Below are 22,299 nucleotides of genomic sequence, written 5' to 3' on the forward strand. Positions count from 1 at the left end.
CTGCAATCCTAAAGGTGGGGCCTGGTGGAAGGTGTTTGGGTGATGGGGGTGGATCCTTCATGGCATGGTGCTTTTTTCACTATAGTGAGTGAGTTCTCATGAGATCTGGTCATATAAAAGTGTGTGGCACCTTCCGCTCCACTCTCTCTTGCTCTCTTGTTCCTGCTTTCACCATGTGATGTGCCTGCTCCACCTTCACCTTCTGCCATGATTGTAAACTTCCTCAGGCCTCCCTAGAAGCTGAGCAGATGCCAGCACCATGCTTCCTGTAAAGCCTGCAGAACCATGGGCCAATTAAACATCTTTTCTTTGTAAATTACCCAGTCTCAGATATTTCTTTATAGCAATGCAAGAATGACCTAATAATACAATGGCCTTTACTATATTGAGGTGTATTCCTCCTTTGCCTAGTTTATTGAGATTTTTATCATGAAGGGATATTGAATTTTATTAAATGCTTTGTCTGCATTTATTGAGATGATCATATGGTTTTTGTCCTTCATTCTGTTAATGTGATATATCATGTTTATTTATTTGTGTGTGTTGTGCCAAACTTACATTCCTAGAATAAATCCCACTTGATCATGATGTATTTTTTTTATGTGCTGCTAGATTCGGTTTGCTAATATTTTGTTGAGAATTTTTGAGTCTGAGTTTATCAGGGGTATTGACCTATAGTTTTTACTGTTGTTGTAGCCTTGTCTGGTTTTGTTATCAGGGTAATGCTGGCATCACAGAATGAGTTAGGGACAATTCCTTTCTCTTCCATTTTTTGGAATAGTTTGAGGAAAATTGGTATTAGTTCTTCTTCGAAAGTTTGGAATTCAGCAATGAAGTCATCTGGTCCTGATGCAATCTCATTACTTGTTTTTGGTCTGTTCAAGTTTTCTGTTTCTTCCTAATTCAATCTCAGTAGGCTGTATGTGTCCAGGAATTTATTCCATTTCCTCTAGATTTTCTACTTTTTCATGTATAGTTAGTTGTTCATAATCGTCTCTGATGATCTTTTTATATTTTCATAGTATCCATTGTAAAGTCTGCTTTTTCATTTCAGATTTTATTTGGGTCTTTTCTTTTTCTTGGTTAGTTTAGCTAGCAGTTTATCAATTTTGTTTATCATTTTGAGAAACCAACTTTTCATTGTGTTGATCCTCCTTTTTTTTTTTTGTCTCTATTTTTTTCAGCCCCACTCTGATCTTATTTCTTTCCTTCTACTAGTTTTGGGTTTGGTTTCTTCTTGCTTTCCTAGTTTCTTGAGATGCATTGTTAGAGTGATTATTTGAAATCTTTCTACTTTTTTAACATAGGCATTTAATGCTATAAACTTCCCTTTTAGAATAGTTGTTGCTATATCGCATATATTTTGGTATTTTGTTTTCTCATTTGCTTCAAGAAATTTTTGCATTTTCTTCTTAATTTCTTTCTTGACCCGATGGTCATTCAGGAGCAGGTTGTTTAGTTTCCATGTATTTGCACAGTTTCCAGAGTTCCTCATGTTATTGATTTCTAGTTCTATTTTATTGTATCTGAGAAGATACTTGATATGATTTTGATTTTTTAAATTGCTGGTTCGTTTTGTATTCTAACATATGGTCTAAAAAATGTTCCATGTGCTGATGAGAAGAATGTGTGTTCTGTAGCTGTTGGATGAAATGTTCTGTAAATGTCTGTTAGGTCCTTTGATTTAATGTGCAGTTTAAAACTAATGTTTGTTTGTTAATTTTCTGTCTAGATGTTCTGTCTAATGCTGAGAGTAGGGTGTTTAAATCTCCAACTATTATTGTATTGGAGTCTGTCCCTCCCTTTAGATGTAATAATATATGCTTTATGTGTCTTGGTGCTGCATTGATAGATGCATGTGTTTTAAGTTGTTATATCCTGTTGCTGAATTGATCCATTTGTCTTTAAATAATGACTTTATCTTTTTTGTTATTTTTTTACTTAAAGTCTGTTTTATCTGATAAGTATAGCTGCTCCTGCTTGCTTTTGGCTTTTGTTTGCATGGAATATCTTTTTCCATCCCTTTACTTTCAATCTATATGTGTCTTTACAGGTGAGATGAGTTTCTGGTAAGTAGCATATCATTGGATCATGTTTGTTTAATCCATTTAGCCAATCTATATCTTTTAAGTGGAAAGTTTAACTCCTTTACATTCAAGGTTATTATTGATGTGTGAGGGCTTATTCCTGTCATCTTATTAATTGATAACTGGTTGTTTTGTATATCCTTTGTTCCTTTCTTTCTCTCTTATTGCCTATCTGTAGTGCTAACATTTGATTCTTTTCTCTTTCTTGTTTGTATGCTCTGCTTTATCAGTAGTGTTTATATTTACATCATGGTAGATATCATTCTTTTCACTTCTAGGTGTAGGATTCCCTTAAGTATTTCTTGTAGGGCTGGTGTAGTGGTGATGAACTCCCTCAGCTTTTGCTTGTCTGGGAAAGACTTTATTTCTCTTTATTTATGAAGGCAAACTTTGCTGAGTATAATATCCATATTTTCTTTTAGCACACTTTAGATACTTCATCCTATTCTCTCCTGGTCTGTAAGGTTTCTGCTGAGAAATCCACTGTTAGTCTGATGGAGATTTCTTTATAAGTGACTAGATGCTTTTTTTTTTCCTTTCCTTTCCTTTTCTTTCCTTTCCTTTCTTTTTTTTCCCTTTCCTTTCCTTTTCTTTCTTTTCTTTTCTTTTTCTTCTTTTATTTTTTTGAGACCGGGTCTTTCTCTGTTGCCCAGGCTGGAGTGCAGTGGTGTGATCTCAGCTCGCTGCAGCTTCTGCCTCCTGGGCTCACGTGATCCTCCCACCTCAGCCTCCCAAGTAGCTGGGACTACAGGCATGTCACCATGTCCAGTTAATTTTTCTATTTTTAGTAGAGTTGAGATTTCACCATGTTGCCCAGGCTGGTCTCGAACTCCTAGACTCAAGCAATCCACCCGCCTTGGTGGGTGCTGAGATTACAGGCATGAGCTGCTGTACCCAGCCTGTTCTTCTTTTTCAAAAGTTATTTTAGCAGCCCACAGCAGTGATGGTTGCAAATAGTAGAATTTGTCCTTCTGGCGTGTGAAAATGTGTAGCCATCTTTCTGGTTCTGGTGGGGGCGCTGAGTCACTGCCATTGGCTCCCACCTTAGCCCTGGCAGCAGCAGCTGCAGGCCAGGAATGTCAGTGGGGCTCCAGGGATTTTCCATTGGGCCCCAGGGCAGGGTTACAATCTGTGGGGGCTGGGCTCCCAAAATGGCACCAGGGTGTTGTTAATTAGCAGCTTTTTTAGCAGCTACTTAGGACTGAGGAATTTGTGGGACTGAGCATGAGCTCTTCCTCTCTGGAGCAGTGCTTTTCCAGGCAACCCCCTACATTAGTCTCAGGACCCACAAGGGCCAAGGGACTCTGTCATGGCTAGGATTATAGGAGTCTGCAGCCGGAGTGTGGACCACTGGGGGTCTCTCATTTACACTTTCCCTGTATTAGGGAGCCTCTCTAACTCCACTAGTAGGTTTTAACCCTGATGAGATTCTTTCTCTGTATAAGACAAGCAAACTAAGCAAATGCATTTTCTTCTACTTTCTAGCAAAATCCCACTGAACTGCATTCATCCATTTGGCTCACCATGCCATCACTTCTCCACTGAAGTGGCTGGTCCAAGGCCAGGTCTTCAGGCATTTAATACCCACTGCAATGCTATGGTAGTCAGAAACCCCTTTTCACCCTCTTAAAAGTATCTTTTGAGAAATAGAATTTCTTCATTTTTATAGTCCAATATTTCATTTTCTTTTGTAATATTGACTTTTTGCATCCTGTTGAAGATCTTTGCCAAGATCATGAAAATGTTCTATGTTTTTCCTTTAAAAGTTTGTTTTACCTTTTGCAGAATCAAATCAGCTAGAATTGATTTTTGTTTATGATATAAGAAGAGAATCAAGATACAATTTTTTCCCATGTGGATCTTCAGGTGACACATTACCATTTATCAAAAAGACCATCTTTTCCCCGCTACACTACAGTGATACCATGTTATAAATCAGCTGACTGTATATAAGTGGGTCTGTTTCTGGGATCTCTGTTCTAATACATTGGTCAATGTGTTTATCCTTGCACCAGCAAATGGTTATTTAAAAAATAACATAAGATTTTTGTAATGAATTCAATATGTACTTCAAATCTGTGAGTTAACCAAACATCAGCTTCTTTATTCCAATCCTTTGAGATCATTTAAAAATTTCAATATAAGCAAAAAGATAGGATTGAAATGTGTATAGTTCTTACAGAATATTTAAAAAAGGTAGTTTTACATTTTTCGTGACTTTTGCAGGTTTGCATGGATGTGTTTAAGAAATATATAAATATCAATGAACTGTGTTTGCTACAGCGTGCAGGTATGAAACAATTAAATAATTAGTATGAAGCTATTAATGTGTTGTTTGAAAATAGTTTAAAAGTAAATTCAATAATTTGTAAGTTTGAAAACTGAATGCCTTACCCAAGAGTAGCTCTGTTGGCCTAAGAAAGGATTGAAAATAAATGAGATATTTTGGTTAATAAAAAAATGATAATCTACCTAACACTGTCATTCCCTTACACATTAATGTTTTCATGACTTACAAATTTTATTTATAAGTGTAAGATGGAGAAAATGGTATTGTTAATTAGTCTTTAACTCTATCTAAAGGGATTTTTCAGAAGCTGACTCTTTCCTACTTCTTCATCCTTCTTCTCTTTTTACATTTACCTCTTGTAGCCAGTGTACCATCCAGTAAGTTCTGTGCAGTTCCCTATACATGCCAGGCTGTGTTCAAACTTCAAGGCTACTATTACCACTTCTCTCTGTCAGAGATGCCTCTGGTTCCATCCCATTTCCTCATGGCAAAGGAAAGGCTATTCGGCCTTCAGGGCTAGGTCGTAGGAAATAGGATTACCTCCTCTATTAGGCCCTTATCTGATTCCACAACCCCATCCCATTCTTTGCCACCTTCTCCCCATACTAATAGTGAGCTGCAAGAAGATAGACACCATGCTTAATTTATTTATATTTGTCACCCTGACACAACCACCAAAGCCACATAGTAGATGTGGTAATAGAGCACTTTCACTTCATATATTTCTGCTTGAGATCTCATTCTGCTAAAAAAAAAGTCTCTGACAGGTTTATTGTTTTGTTTTGCTGGTAATATCATTCTCCCCAAGGATTAAAGGAAACACCTAATGGAATTGCTAGTCTGAACTTAATATAACTATAACAAAGAAGTAGTAGTTAAGGTGAAGTAATAGATACCTATATGGGAGTATACTTGTGACCTGAGGGATTTTGATAGCCAAGGAGGAGGAACTATATAGGTTAGATATGGATGAACTTTTAAATTCCAGAAATAATTCCATAACATGAGATGTGGAAGGAAAAAGGATGTCATGAAAAGGATGCAAAACTCCCAAAAATATAAGTCTGACTGTATAAAGATCCAATATGGCCACAGGAAAAATACTTCTGAATTTTGCTTTAAAACAATGAATGCAGAACAAAAATAAGCACCTGTAGCATAAATGTAGCACCTGTAGAATAAATGTAGAAAGTTGTCAAGAACCTGTGGAAATTTTTTGGTGTAAAAATAAAAACTTAGATCAGTGGGAAATAATAGATAGCTCAGAATAGACCTGATACATATGAGGGGTTTAGTGTTTAGAAAGACCATAGGATTTGAGACAAGAGGAATCACTTTAAGAATGATAAGATAACTAGATAGCAACTTAAAGAGGCTCTGAATACCACTGGTATAAATAAGTTATGGATTTAGCTACTCAGGCTCTACAGAGAGGCCTCAGGAACCATTTTGGTGCACAAGAGGAAGAAGCTGAGTCAGTGGACTCCCCCACCCCCTGTTTAACCATAGTTTCTTGTTTATCTATTTTATATTTGAATTTCCACATAAAATTCTTTTGAGAAGTTTTTAAATTTTAAGTTTTTATTTAGAAATTTTAAATTTACAAAAATCTGTGAAAATGGAAATAATACAAACAAGAGGCATATCCTTTATCATTTTCATTTGTTCTCTCTCTCCTTCCTTCCATATATGTGTGTGTACACACACGTGTGCACATATGTGCATGGCCTTACACGCACACACATTTTTCCCTGAACCACTTGAAGTTAAGTTGCACGCATCATGGCCCTTTACCACCAAATAGTTTAATGCATATTTCCGAAAAACAGGCTATCCTTTTATATAACCATGGTACATTTATCCACATTAGTAAATTTAACATGAGTACAGTAGTTTTGTCTAATTTATTATTTATATTCAAATTTTGTCACTTGACCCAATTATGGCGTTTTATAGCATTTTTCCCTCTAGTTTAGGATCCAGTCCAGGATCAGGTGTGCATTTAGTTGTCATGATTCTTTAGCCTCCTTTAATCTAGAACATTTCCACCGTCTGTCTTGGACATTTTGGGAGTATGTATGTGATAAAATATACATAAAATTTACCATTTTAAACATTTTTAAGTGTACGATTCACTGGCATATTAAGTACATTCAATGTTGTGTAACCATCACCATTATCCATTCCCAGAACTTTCTCATTCCAAACAGAAATGCCGTATGCATTAAACAATAACTCCTCATTACCCTCATTCTCAGCCCTTGATAACCTCTAATCTACTTTCTGGCTCTATGAATTTGTCTATTCTAGGTATTTCATATAAGTAAAATTATACAATATTTGTCCTTTTGTGTCTGGATTATTTCACTTAGCATAATGTCCTCAAGGTTTATCCATATTGTAACGTGTATCAGAATTTCCTTCCTTTTAAAGGCTGAATAATATCCTGTTGTATGTACATACCACATTTTGTTTATATATTCATCTGTTGATGGACGCTTGGGTTGTTTTCTCCTTTTGGGTATTAGAGTAATGTTGCCATGAACTTTGACATACAAGTATCTACTTGAGTCCTTGCTTTCAGTTCTTTCGGGTATATACCTAAGAGTAAAACTATAGGTCCTGTTTTATCTGTTTTATATTTGAATTTCCACATAAAATTTCCCTTTCCAGAAGTTTTATGGCCAAAAACATTTTAAAACAACTGCTATTTAGCATATACCAGAATGAATCAATGAAGTATAGCAATTAGCAATTCAGTAGAAAAAAGTCTTTTCTTTTAAATCAGATTTTTAGAAAGATGACAATTTCTGTGGTTTAAAGTAATCAAAGGGAGTATAAAAGATATAAATATGATCACATAAATTTGAACTAAAAAGCTATTATCTTCAATATTTTAGATTTACCACTGGTAATATACAAAACTATTCCAATATATAAGAATAATGAGTCCAATCAGCTATTTAGAAAGACATGAATATTGTTTCTTCTTGTGAAAATTAGAAACATTTCAAGAGGAAAATCCAGTGGTTAATGATTCACTAGAATTATGCATTCCTAACCAAAGAAAGGAGTAAAAATACCTGATTCTGGTGAGTAATTGGTAAAGTAGCGTTATGAATTGACAACCCTTTTTAAAAAGCAATGTAGGCTGGGTACAGTGGCTCACACCTGTAATCTCAGCACTCTGGGAGCCTGAGGTGGGTGGATTGCTTGAGCCCAGGAGTTTAGACCAGCCTGGGCAAAATGGCGAAACCCCATCTCTATAAAAATAAATTTAAAAAATTAGCCAGGCATGGTGGAGCACACCTATAGTCCCAACTGCTTGGGAGGCTGAGGTGGGAAGATCGCTCAAGCCCAGGAGGCAGAGGTTGCAGTGAGCCGAGATCACAACACTGCACTCCAGCACTGGGTGACAGAGCAAGACCGTGTCTCAAAAATAAATAAATAAAATAAAAGACAATGCAGTAGTTTGTGTCAAAATGTATTAAAATGTTCAGACAGTTTCCACCCAACAGTTTAACAAGAAGGTATCATTATTTGTTTTTGATTTTTTGAGACGGAGTCTTCCCCGGTCGCCCAGGCTGGAGTGCAGTCGCACGATCTTGGCTCACTGCAACCTCCGCCTCCTGGGTTCAAGCGATTCTCCTGCCTCAGTCTCCCTGAGTAGCTGTGACTACAGGCCTGTGCCACCATGCCTGGCTAATTTTTGTATTTTTAGCAGAGACAAGGTCTCACCCTGTTGGCCAGGCTGGTCTCGAACTCTTGACCTCAGGTGATCCGCCCACAGCCTCCCAAAGTGCTGGAATTACAGGTGCGAGCCACCACGCCTGGCCGAGAGGATCATTATTTTCAATGCAGATAATATATTAACAGTTTAAAAATAACTTAATGAGGCCAGGTGCAGTGGCTCATGCCTATAATTCCAGCACTTTGGGAGGCCAAGGCGGGCAGATCACCTGAGGTCAGAAGTTCAAGACCAGCCTGGCCCACATGGTGAAACGCCGTCTCTACTAAAAATGCAAAAAAAAAACCTAACCAGGTTTGGTGGTGCATGCTTGTAATCCCAGCTACTCTGGAGACTGAGGCAAGAGAGTCGTTTGAACCTGGAAGGCAGAGGTTGCAGTGAGCTGAGATCATGCCACTGCACTCCAGCCTGGGTGACAGAGCGATACTCTGTCTCAAAAAAATAAATAACTTAATGACAAAAAGGAGAAAGGTTTCATGTCAATTAGTGGACTATTTACACACTGGCTAACATAGATTAACTGCACCTTTTTGAATGTCTGCAATTTCAGTTTTATTAATAAGCTATAATAACACTGAGTTTACCGTTTTATCAGTTGATCAGCTTCTGTATAGGCGACTATATAAATACTGCCAAAAGTATAGCAGCAAGAATTTATCTGTATGTGTCCAGGGAAAATAATTGTAGTATATAAAAAAGCTTTACAAGAAATTTGAATATTGTTATACCATATTATTAAAGTTTTAAAAATTATTAAAACTTTAACATTAATTTTTCATTTGTGCCACTGAACTTTGTCAGTAGCTACTGGCTTTCCTAAACAATACCAGGTAATCCAGCTAGTAATAAATATTTCTAATAGAAGTAATTAACACAAAATAAAACCAAAAGTATTTTTACTAAGGCAGTTAAGGTATACAGATTTTAACCTGGGAAATTTTGGAATGAAGAAAAAAATGATCAATGAAAGAATCCTAATGTAAATAATTTTAGTAAAATTAATGGGGAAAAATTGGAAACATCATGTTACATAGAAAATTAAGGATTTGGATGGGCATGAAGGAAGTACTTTCTCAAAGAAAACTAATCAGCATTGTTGTAATTTTTAGTAGAATGTTCCACAATCACAAACTGAAATAAAAAATATCCCCATCCATGACAAGGCAGGGAGAAGTTAAAAATAATGTCAACATGTTGGTGGGTTTAAAGCAACAAGCATGGGTATGTGTCAAAACAGTCTGCATCCATCACCAAACTATATAACCTTGCATATGTACCAAGGCTACTGCCTCAAGACTGCCTGGGAGCTTGACTCTGTAGGAGCTCATATTGACGCTATGATGTATGGGAATGGCAGTTTGGACCTATTCTTTGCAGGTAGCACATGGGTTACTTCATGCTGAGCATGCTTGGTTGACTTCAAATATTATTGCCATTTTGACTTTTGCTTTAATTTTCATCTACTCTTTCTAATACTAGAACTGTACCTTTCAAGAATTTACATTGAATTCATATTATTTTATCTTTATATATAGAAAAATTATCAAATTTAAGAAATACAGATATCTGAAGCAGCAAATGACTTTAGTATATATATTTTCATTTTCAGTAAACATATTTATGGAGTACTACAGAAAGTTTCCCCCAGGTGTATACTTTGATTTACAAGTGCTAAATGACCTTCTAAATTCTTTACTCAAACATTGTTTGTTGAAAGAAGTATTTCAGATAGTGAACCTCAGCATAATGGTTAAAATGCTGGTAAGTAGCCTGAAAATATATGTTATTTTAATATTTTATGTTAATTTCTCTGTCATATTCATTGTTTGAACTTAGCAGTTGAATTTCTGTATTTGTTGAATACTTCCTAGAAACCACTTGTGTTTTTCAACATAAATGAATTTGAGAAATTTAAGGTGTACTAAAAGAAGATCTGAAAATGAGTGTAATTTTTTTGTTTTATCCAGCCTTCTCTGAAAATATTACTAAACATATTTGAGTATGTGGCAACTATGAAATTAAGGAATGCTGTACCTGCTTTAATTGATATCTTTTGCAAGGTATGGTTTTATTTTCTCTTTTATTCTCTGATGGCGAGTAACCAAGAAAATAATTGTTTCCATGGGGGGGTACCCTTGAGCTGCCTTTTATTCACATTCTGGATGCCAAAGAATTCTATTTCCAGAAGTATTCTTTTTCTCTTGAAATAGGGTTTATAAAAAAAGAATCCAGTGGCTGATAAGCCTTCCTCTTAAATAGTTTCAGACACTCAGATTATTGCTTTTTGATGTATGAATTGTCTTCGTCTCTACTCCGTAAGGATGATTAAATAAAATTTTCTTTCTCTAAAAGACTTGAGATCATTTACAACAGAAATAAACAAACCAAAAAAGACTTACAAAAATATAAAATTCAACTTTTGTTAAATACTTCCTAGTATTTGATACTACTCAATCGTCTACTTCAGAATAGGCCTGATAGGAAAACTGCCAGTTTTCTTTCAGAAGCAACATTGGAAGAACTCAAGCAGAAGAACAGATATGTGAGTGAATACCTCAGATTTCACATTACAAAACTTGACAATTGCTTGCCTAGAGATGTTTGGAATCAAAAGTTACTGATTGCCAGGCGTGGTGGCTCACGCCTGTAATCCTAACACTTTGGGAGGCTGAAGCAGGCAGATCACAGGGTCAGGAGTTCAAGACCAGCCTGACCAACATGGTGAAACCCCATCTCTACTAAAAACACACAAAAAATTAGCCGGGCATGGTGGCGCACTCCTATAATCCCAGCCACTCAGGAGGCTGAGTCAGGAGAATTGCTTGAACCTGGGAGGCGGAGGTTGCAGTGAGCCAAGATTGTGCCATAACCTAGGCAACAGGGCAAAACTCCATCTCAAAAAATAAAAAGTTACTGATAACCCGTAGAGGTTGTAGAAAATCTCAGTAAGGATTCCATAAATTGTCTGATACTGAATAACTTGGCTTTCTGCAAAATGTACCCCGCAGTGACTGTCTAAATAAAATTACCCTTAGTGGAGAATATCTAACAAAGACAATGATTTTCATTTTTGCATGGCTAATATGGAGCCATCATTTCTGGAAGTTGTTTAAAACCAGTGCCAATTTCCCTGTTAAGACTATTTCAGGGTTCAGTAATAACACCATAATATCATCATGGAGAAAGATGCTTTTCCTCCTCTTTATTCTAGCAGTGTACCATACTCCATGTATTTAACAAAAATATCACTGAGAAAAGATAATTAACATTTTTGTCCTGCCTTAGATTGTTACCTAGTCTGTTACAATTTATATTTACCCTGGTCTTTGAGCAGTGTTAAAGGGCAGAGTTTTTAAGGCATGTCAGTTACCAGATAACTGATTTGTTCTCTTGCAGGTTTGTTTATAGTTGGCCTTGTTCATTTAGTCAAAAGTCGTTGCAAGGTCAGTGAATACAGTTAGACCACCAGTGACCCTTTCAAATGTTGTAGAGCGTAACAGTAAAAAAATCATGATGTCCAGTCCTTTACTTCATGATGTTTGGAAAACTATTTGTTAAGGTAGTGGATTGGTAGGTTTAGGAGAGGAGCTGTTTTCCTCTTTTAAAATAAAATTGAGCATGCTTTGAATCTAGAGGAGCTAATAGAGCTTAAGGATTAGAGCCTAATCTTTAGAACAGGCTTTAAATAGTCATTTTTACAGGATTTTTTTTTACCAAAACTATTTTTAGTTAAAGTTGTTGAATAACGTGTCTTAGGGTAGCATTTCTAGGACCCATTCAAAAGGGGCCGAGTACCACTAAATTTGAGACAATTTTCCTTGGAGTTCAAAGGTGGGGAAAATCTCTCAGCAGCTTGTTACTATTGTCCTTCACTAAAAGAAATTCTATCTCAAAATATATAATTGTGAGTTCTAACAGCCAAATTACAGCATCTCACATTATACCTTGAAACAGGTAGCTTCTCCACTTACCCCTGGTATTGTTTTGTTATCCTACCCCAAATTCTTATTTCCTAGTACTCCCTTCAGATCTATACTGGAGACAAAGCATACATTCTCCCAAACATTCAAAATATATTTTGATATTTAAGTAATTTCTTAAAAGGGGAATTTTTCTGAAAACCAGAATAGAACCAAATAAAATTCTCAGCAAAAATATTGCTCAGAGAATTTCAAACACCACTCAGTTGAGTCATTCTTAACTCTCTAAATCCTTGTCCAGGGTAGCTAGTCATAATACCTTTGAAGTATTATGGAGGTATTGGAGGACCTAGTCATTATACCTTTGAACCAAGGTCAAGAGGATCATTTGAGCTGGGGCAACTAATAAGACTGCCAGCTCACAACCTTGTATCTTCCCACGTTTCCAGGATAATGTCATGTAGAAGAGCTGTCAGAAAAGGCCTGCCTCTCATTCATCTATTCTCACACTAGAAGTGTCCAGATATTCCCTTGTTGGTTCTCTTCATTAGCGTTGAGGCTCATGAAGAAGACAGGAAATGAGTCATATGTGAATGACAGATAAAGCCTTTGAATTGGTATTTTTTTAATTACGTGCTATGTTACATGTGGGCAGTTGGTCCACCTGAGTGATTAATTTATCAAGGAATCACTGATTCTTCTCTGGCCATGGCCCTATGTGAGGCACAGGAACAATACTTCTCAGGAAGTTTATAATCAGGGATGAGGTATGAATACCAGTCCTAGATTAGAAGACAGACTGAGTACTAAATAAGAGGTATATATGATAAAGTGGTTGAGATAACTTAGAGAGCAGGAAGAAAATCCAAAAACTTAATATTTTCATTTTTGCTTTAAATTCTTAGGATATCTTTTTGTGGTTCTGTGCCTCAATTTTTTTAAATGAGTTTTATTCCACTTGTCTCCATGTTTCACTTCTTCCATTAGTGTCTTAGTTGTTTCACACACATTGGCTCCTCAATTCTGTCACATTTTTGTAAGAATAACCACTCTTTCTTTTCTCTTCTACAGCTTGTTGAAGCCGGGATGGTGCTTGACCCAGAGCACTTTAACTATATTGTTAAGCTTTTATACCAAGTACAAGCTTCCAAACAAGAAATAACTGCAGTTCTGGAAATGAAATCGAGGTGAGAAAAATCATTATTATTTAAGCCAAAATATATGTGTCTTGGTGGGGACTTATAAAAGCTGAAGGCAAAGCTCTAATAACTGTTTGTATGCCCAAACATTTAGATAGTGGCCTGTCATAAACCCTTCTCCTGTCTCTTGGCTGTGCCCTACTTTAGTCAAGCTGCCTGTGGCCAGCCTCACCTTATTTTTCTTAGTACTTCATTTCCTCTCAATGTCCTGCTCATCAAGTGTAAAAAGAGTGTCTTTTATCTTCTGTTTCACCACTTAATTACACCTAATGTACTCTCTTATATGTGTACAAATTACCTTAATGCGTTTTTCTATTTGACTCATTTTTTGTTGTTAGCTTAATAAAATACTTTAGTGCCCCTCCCTTATTTACTTTCTCTATTCAGCTTGTGGGCCTCCAAAGACCTTTAAAAAAAAAAAAAGCCAGGCGCCGTGGCTCACGCCTGTAATCCCAGCACTTTGCAAGGCCGAGGCAGGCGGATCACAAGGTCAGGAGTTCAAGACCATCCTGACCAACATGGTGAAACCCCATATCTACTAAAAATACAAAAATTAGCTGAGCATGGTAGCGCGTGCCTGTAATCCCAGTTACTCAGGAGACTGAGGCAGGAGAATCACTTGAATCTGGGAGGCAGAGGTTGCAGTGAGCCGAGATCGCACCACTACCTGGGCGACAGAGCGAGACTCCGTCTCAAAAATAAATAAATAAATAAATAAAAACTGAAAAAAAAACTCTAACAATTATACAAGTGGTACCATAATGTACTTACACCAAGAAAAAGGAAGGCCATGACTTAAAAAAAAAAAAAATCAAAGTATAACATACATAGAAAAAAAGATATAAATTATGTGTTTAAATGAATCATAACTTTTTAAATGTAATTAGATTTGATAAAGAGCAAATCAACTACTGAAATCCTTCAGAATGCCCAGAAATCTCCAATATGGAGCTTCCATCGCTATTTTTATCTCATTTCTCATTATCTTCTAATGCAGAGGTTCCCAAACTTTCTTGGTTCTGTGTCCCTAGGCCAAAAGAAAGATGTTAACTGTCCCATTTATTAACTAGTTAGGTCCAAACAAGTTAATAGTAGTCATTTGTTCAGTGTCTGACAGGTGTCAGCCTTAACATAGGCTTATTTAACAAGCTTAAACTAACCTATGGTGTCCTGGGGAGTTTGCCATTGTGCCCTAGATGCCTCGGTACAGTTAAAAGAATTGCAGCTCTAAATAGTACTTCTTCCCTTCAATCACTAACATTGAAATTAATTTGAGTTTTCCAAGTTCTATGATTTTTTAATTTAATTACTGATAATTAACAATATTCATGTTTTCCATGAAAATTGTAACACTGTTTAGGCTAAATAGATTTTGGGGACTACCTAGGAAACAAATTTTTGTAAGGAAAGTATAATTCATCCAGCATGTAGTTCTGGAGTCTAATTTGTTTTTAAGTAGGGTGCATTGATGTTGTCTTCCAATCATTGAGTTCATTCTTCCCCAGAGCGATATGTGAAAAACTTTTCCCATTTTGGGCAGTGGCAGCTATGGCAGAGAGCTCACATGACTAACAGATGTTAATCTCGCACCAGATTCAGTAGCAGTTAGCACAGGGAAAGTGTATGCATCAAGGCTCAAGAGAATAGCAGTATCTGGTGCCCTGAATAGCTACTGAACTTCACCCTTCATGCAATGATTGACAGCAGATCCTGTTAGTATATAGGAAGACCCCAGAACAATCCAGCTTTTCACTTTTTTTATTGATGTGTAATAGTTGTATATGTTTACAGAGTACATGAGTTTTAACGATACATGTATACGATGTATAATGATCAAATCAGGGTAACTGGGATATTCATCACCTCAAACATTTATCATTTCTTTGTATTAGGGACATTCCAGAGCTTCTCTTCTGGTTATTTGAAATATGCTATACATTTCTGTTAACTGTAGTTGCCCTATTGTGCTTTCAAACACAAGCAACACAATCATGAATATTCTTAGTCTATTTTACAGTATATAACTTTGAAAACTGTATCTTTATACCCTCTGCCCCTTTCTGTGCTCCCACTTCAAACCATTACAGTTATGTGCCCCATAATAATGTTTTGGTTAATGATGGACCACATATACCATGGTGATCCCATAAAATTATAATGGAGCTGAAAAATTCCTATCTCCTAGTGACATCTTAGCTGTTATAATGTCAGAGCACAATGCACTACTCATATGTTTGTGGTGATACTAGTGTAAACAAACTTACTGCGCTGCCAGTCATATAAAAGTATAGCACATACAACTATGTACAGTACATAACATTTGATAATGATAATAAATTAGTGTTACTGGTCTATGTATTTACTGTACTTTATTATTATTTTAGAGTGTACTCCTACTTATATTTTTTTAAAGTTAAGTGTAAAACAGATTCAGGCAGGTCCTCCAGAAGGTATTCCAGAAGTAGGCATTATTGTCATAGGAGATGACAGCTCCATACTTGTGATTGACCCATAGACCTTCCAGGGAGACAAGATGTGGAGGTGGAAGACAGTGATATTGATCATCCTTGTTCTCTGTAGGCCTAGGCTAATGCATGTATTTGTGTCTTAGTTTTTAACAAAACAGTTTACAAAGTAAAAAGATAAAAATAAAAATTTTCAAAAATAGAAAAAAGTTTATAGAATAAGGATATAGAGAACATGCTTTTGTACAGATATACAGTGTGTTTCTGTTTTAAGCTGGGTGTTGTTACAAAAGAGTCAAAAAGTTTGTAAAGTTACAGTAAGTTAAAATTAATATTGAAGAAAGAGAAACTTTTTTTCTAAATTAAGTGTAGCCTAAGTATATAGTATTTGTAAAGTCTACAGTTTGTGTTACAGTTGCCTACAGTATTCAGTACAATAACATGCTTTGCAGGTTGGTAGCCTAGGAACAATAGGCTATATCATATAGCCTAGGTGATTAGTAGGCTGTACCATCTAGGTTTGTGTAAGTACACCCTTATGATGATTACACAAAGATAAAATCACATAAAGACACATTTCTGAGAACATATCCCCAGCCGGGTACAGTGGCTCATGCCTGTAATCCCAGTACTTTGGGAGGCTGAGGCAGGTGGATCACCTGAGGTTGGGAGTTTGAGACTAGCCTGGCCAACATGTGAAACCTCATCTCTACAAAAAATAGAAAAATCAGCCAGTTGTAGTGGTGCACGCCTGTAATCCCAGCTACTCAGGAGGCTGAGGTGGGAGAATTGCTTGAATCTGGAAAGCAGAGGTGGCAGTGAGCCAAGATCGTGCCACTGCACTCCATTCTGGACAACAGAGCAAGACTCTGTCTCAAAAAAAAAAAGACATATAGCCATCAAACGACGCATGACTGTATATAGTATTCTTTAAGAGGTACTAACGTTGGTGACCTATTTGATGATGGAGAGAGTTTTGAGAGAGTAGGATAATAACTGGATAGTTAAGGAGTTTAGATCATAACTGAGCATGTGAACCCAGCTCCAAGGCAAAAGAAAAAAAAGTAGTATGTTATTTTATACTTGAATTTTCTTGACTCTTTGAAATAATCACCCTATTCTGCACTAGGCAATTATTTTTTTTTCTTTGAGACAGTATCTCCCTCTGTCTCCCAAGCTGGAGTGCAGTGGTGCAATCATGGCTCATGGCTCACTGCAGCCTCAACCTCTTGGGCTCAAGAAATTCTCCTACCTTAGCTTCCCAACCCTCTGGGACTACAGGCACGTGCCATTGTGCCCTAGCTATATTTTTTTGTATTTTTTTCAGAGGTAGGATTTCAACATGTTGCCCAGTCTGGTCTCGAACTCCTGGGCTCAAGTGATCTGCCTGCTTCAGCATCCCAAAATAGTCAAATGAATTTTAATGCACATTTATATTTTGATTTTGATTATATTTTTAATTAGCTAGTTTACAGTTCATTTGAAAGACTTTCACAGAAGATAAGGCTGCTAGAAAGAATTTTAACATTTATATTCAGGACATTAGTGACAATTTATATGTGCCTATAACTTAGGAAATTTCTTAACATTCAGTGATTATTTTAAAACTTTCACATTTAAAGTGGGTATTGAAATGTTGGAGCTTAAGTCTGCAACTTTATTAGTTACTTTTTGTTTATCTCCTGTTTACCTTTTTCTATATTCCTGTGGGGATTACTTGAACGTTTTTTAGAATTCCATTCTGATTAACTGTAGTTTTTGAGTATCTCTCTTTGTAGATATATATTTTTTAGTTGTTGCTCTAATGCACTTACCTTTTGACTCAGCAATCCCAATTCTACAAATGTACCCTGAAAACACACCTCTATCAATACAAACATATGCACACCCAAGGTTATTCATTGCAGCATTGTTTATACTTGCAAAATATTAGGAACAATCTAAATACCAATACAGTAGATGAATAATATAGTATATTCACACAATGAAGTACTTTGCAGCCATTAAAAAATGAAGAATTTCTCTATGAATTTATTTAGAGTGATATCCATATACTGTTTGTGTAAATGTTATAAATACACTAATTAAAGGATTGCAGTTGGCAGAATATATATAAAAGTATAACTATATGCCCCTGACAAGAAATTAACTTTCATTGTAAGGATATAGGTAGTTGAAACAATATGCCATGCAAACATTAGTTTTAAAAGGAGCATGAGTGATTATATGAATAACGAATTAAATAGACTTTAGAGCAAGGAAAACTACAGGTACAAAGAGGGACACTACATAATAAGATGATCAATATGCCAAGAAGACATAGCAATTATAAAGTATATGCACCAAAAAACAGCTTCAGAATACATGAAACAAAATTATTGAATTGAAAGGAGAAATGGACAATTCTATAATTATAGTTGGGGACTTCAATATCCCTCTCTCAATAATTGATAGAAATACTGGGAAATCAGCAAAGATATAGAACTAAACACCTCCATCAATCAACAGGGTTTAATAGACATTTATAGAACACTGTACCCCAAAACAGCAGAATACATATTCTTTTCAAGCATCTATGGAATATTCACCAAGGTAGACCATATCCTGGATCATAAACCTCAAAAAATTTAAAACAATTAAAACTATACAGAGTACATTATTTGACTGTAATGGAATCAAACTGGAAATCAACAATGGAGGTATAATAGGAAAATCTCCAAACACTTGGAAATTAAACAACACATTTCTCTATAATCCACGTGTGAAGAGAAAGTTTCAAAACTAAGTGAACTGTTAGAACTGAATAAAAATGAAAATATGTCACAACTTGGGGATGCAGTTAAAGCAATCCTGAGAGGAAAATCCATTACACAATATTCTAAGCTCCCACCTCACAAAACAAGGAAAAATAAGAGCAAAATAAACTCAAAGTAAGCATAAGAAAGGCAATAAAGCTAAGAATATGAATCAATGAAGCTGAAAACAAAAAGTAAATCAATGAAACAAAAAGCTGTTTGTTTGAAAAGATCAATAAAATTAACAAGCCTCTAGCAAGACTAAAAAAAAAAGCAGACATGAAGACATGAATTATCGATACCAGGAATGAGACCAGGGTTATCAGTACAGTTACTGCAGCCATTAAAGCGATCATAAGGGATTGCCTTGAACAACTTGACATAAACTCAGCAACATAGATGAAAAGGAGCAAGTCCTTAAAAACCACAAAAAAAAACAAAGTTGATGCAATATGAACTAGATCATCTAAATAGTGTTACAACTATGGAAGAAATTTAATCCATCATTTAAAAGCTTCCAAAAAAGACATTTCAAGGGCCAGATAGTTTCATTGGACGATTCTACCAGTCATTCAAAGAAGAATCAGCATGGATTTACACGATCTCTTGCAGAAAACATGAGGGAACATTTACCAGCATATTTTGATACCAGTGTTACCCAGCCTCCAAAACCAGACACAGAGAATACCAAAAAAAAAAAAAAAAAGAAAAAAAAAAGAAAAGCAAATTACGGCCGGGCATGGTGGCTCACACCTGTAATCTCAGCACTTTGAGAGGCCGAGGTGGGTGGATCACCTGAGGTCAGGAGTTTAAGACCAACCTGACTAACATGGTGAAACCCCGTCTCTACTAAAAATACAAAATTAGCTGGGCATGGTGGCACATGCCTGTAATCCCAGCTACTTGATAGGCTAAGGCAGGAGAATCACTTGAACCCAGGAGGCGGAGGTTACAGTGAGCCGAGATTGAACCATTGCACTCCAGCCTGGACAACGAGTGAAAGTCTGTCTCAAAAAAAAAAAAGAAAAAAGAAAAGAAAATTACAAATTAGTATTATCTCTCCTGAGCTTTGATGCAGAAATTATCAATAAAATACTACCATATTGAATCCAGGAATTTGTAAAAAGAATTATACACCATTATCAAACAGGGTTTATTTCAAGAATGAAAAGATGGTTCAATATTTGAAAATCAATGTAATTCATCATATCTACAACATAAGAAGAAAAACCACATGATTATTCAATTAATACAGAAAAGCATTTGACAAAATTCAATATCCATGCATTATTTTTAAAAGTCAGCAAATTATGAATAAAGGAAGAAATTCTTTAACTTCACAAACAGTATCTGTAAGAAACCTACAGCAAATATTATATTTAGATGAAAGACTGGATGCTTCTTCCTAAGACTGGGAACATGGCAAGGATGTTCACTGATACCACTCTTATTCAACATACTATGATAAATCTTAGCCAGTGTAAGGCAAGAAATGGAAATAGCTAGCATACAGATTGGAAGTGAAGAAATAAAACTGTCCGTATTTGCAGATGACATTTTCTGCATATATGCCAAGGAATGTACCAAAATTTAAAAAAAAAACACTCTCCTAGAACTAAGGAGTGCAGCAAGGTTGCAGCACAAAAATCAACACAAAAATCAACCATATTTCTATATACTGAAAACGAACTGGGGAAACCAGCATTTAAAACAATATAATTTACAATGGCTAAAAACAAAAATTAGTAAAAATCTGACTGAACACATGCTAAACTTGTATGTTGGAAGTTACAAAATGCTGATAAAAGAAATTGAAAGATTAAATAAATAGAGATACTACATTCATGGGTTGGGAGACTTAATAAAGGTGTCAATGCTTCAAAATTTCATCCATTGGTTTAACTCAATTCCTATCAGAATCCCTCTGGCAAGATTTTTTTGTAGGTATAAAAACGTATATTCTAAAATTTATGTGCAAAGGTAAAAGGACTAGAATAGCTAAGACAACTTTTAAAAAAGAATAGGCTGGGTGCAGTGGCTCACACCTGTAATCACAATACTTTGGGAGGGAGAGGCAGGCAGATTACTTAAGCCCAGGAGTTCGAGGCCAGCCTGGGCAACGTGGTGAAACCCCATCTCTACAAAAAATTAGCTGGGCATGATGTCACGCACCTGTAGTCCCAGCTAACTGGGACTTGTAGCTGTGGGAGGATCACTTGAGCCCCAGAGGTAGAGGCTGCAATGAGCCGTGATTGCACCACTGCACTCCAGCCTGGGTGACAGATAGAGACCCTGTCTCAAAAAAGAAAACAAGAATAGGGTAAAGTAAAAGGATTCACTCTACTTAATGTTAAGACTTACTAACAGTAATCAAGTAATTAAGAAAGTATGTTATTGGATGGAGGGAGAGAGACATAGGTCAAAGGAACAGAGGGAATCCAGGAATAAACCACTACTAATATGTTCAATTGATTTTATAAGGTACAAAAGCAATTTTATGGAAGAAAGCTAGTTTTTAAACAAATGATGCTGGAGCAATTGAACAGCCATAGTAAAAAAACAAAAACTTTGACCCAAACCCGACACCTTATACAAAAATTAATTCAAAATGAATCATGAATTTAAACAAAAAAACTTTTAGGAAAAAATAGGGGAAAATTTGGAAACCTATATATATATGTTTATATATATTATATAATATATTTGTATAATATATATTTTATGTATATATATTATATATATATATATATATTTTTTTTTTTTTTTTTTTTTTTTTCCCCCTGAGATAGAGTCTTGCTCTGTCACACAGGCTGGAGTGCAGTGGCACAATCTCAGCTCACTGCAACCTCCGCCTCCTGGGTTCAAGTGATTCTCCTGCCTCAGCCTCCCAAGTAGCTGGGATTACAGATGCGTGCCACCATGCCTGGCTGATTTTTGTATTTTTAGTAGAGACTGGGTTTCACCATGTTGGCCAGGCTGATCTCAAACTGCTGACCTCGTGATTCACCCACCTCGGCCTCCCAAAGTGCTGAGATTACAGGCATGAGCCACCGTGCCCAGCTGAGAATATATTTTGAAAGTCTCAAAATTCAATAGTAAACAAACAAATGATACTGTTAGAAAATGGGAGCTGGACATGAACAGACACGTCTCAAAAGAAGACATTTATGCAGCCAAAAAACACATGAAAAAATGCTCACCATCACTGGCTTTCAGAGAAATGCAAATCAAAACCACAATGAGATACCATCTCACACCAGTTAGAATGGCAATCATTAAAAAGTCAGGAAACAACAGGTGCTGGAGAGGATGTGGAGAAATAGGAACACTTTTACACTGTTGGTGGGACAGTAAACTAGTTCAACCATTGTGGAAGTCAGTGTGGCGATTCCTCAGGGATCTAGAACTAGAAATACCATTTGACCCAGCCATCCCATTACTGGGTATATACCGAAAGGACTACAAATCATGCTGCTATAAAGACACAAGCACATGTATGTTTATTGCGGCACTATTCACAATAGCAAAGACTTGGAACCAACCCAAATGTCCAACAATGATAGACTGGATTAAGAAAATGTGGCACATATACACCATGGAATACTATGCAGCCATAAAAAATGATGAGTTCATGTCCTTTGTAGGGACATGGATGAAATTGGAAATCATCATTCTCAGTAAACTATCGCAAGAACAAAAAACCAAACACCGCATATTCTCACTCATAGGTGGGAATTGAACAATGAGAACACATGGACACAGGAAGAGGAACATCACACTCTGGGGACTGTTGTG

The 22,299-nt window shown here is 36.2% G+C and overlaps 1 protein-coding gene across 4 annotated transcripts in view, besides 1 other annotated feature; it reads left to right on the forward strand.

Annotated features, from left to right (window-relative positions):
* Positions 1-22,299, forward strand: part of TOPAZ1 (testis and ovary specific TOPAZ 1) — a 94,804-nt gene that overhangs the window by 35,769 nt on the left and 36,736 nt on the right. For all 4 annotated transcript variants that reach the window (XM_011533694.3, NM_001145030.2, XM_017006361.2 and 1 more), the window contains exons 9-12: positions 4,314-4,377; positions 9,735-9,886; positions 10,093-10,185; positions 13,117-13,232. In XM_011533694.3, the coding sequence (XP_011531996.1) occupies positions 4,314-4,377; positions 9,735-9,886; positions 10,093-10,185; positions 13,117-13,232 (425 nt within the window). The remainder of the gene's footprint in view (positions 1-4,313; positions 4,378-9,734; positions 9,887-10,092; positions 10,186-13,116; positions 13,233-22,299) is intronic.
* Positions 12,337-13,536: an enhancer, noted in NCBI's record as "P300/CBP strongly-dependent group 1 enhancer chr3:44331483-44332682 (GRCh37/hg19 assembly coordinates)". NCBI's record gives its function as "activates an origin of replication core promoter dependent on BRD2, BRD4, P300/CBP, MED14 and CDK7 cofactors, with strong dependence on P300/CBP, by STARR-seq in HCT116 cells {active_cell/tissue: HCT116}" and the evidence as "EXISTENCE:reporter gene assay evidence [ECO:0000049][PMID:35650434]".

This window comes from Homo sapiens, chromosome 3 (genome assembly GCF_000001405.40).
Source record: "Homo sapiens chromosome 3, GRCh38.p14 Primary Assembly".
Taxonomy (NCBI): domain Eukaryota; kingdom Metazoa; phylum Chordata; class Mammalia; order Primates; family Hominidae; genus Homo; species Homo sapiens.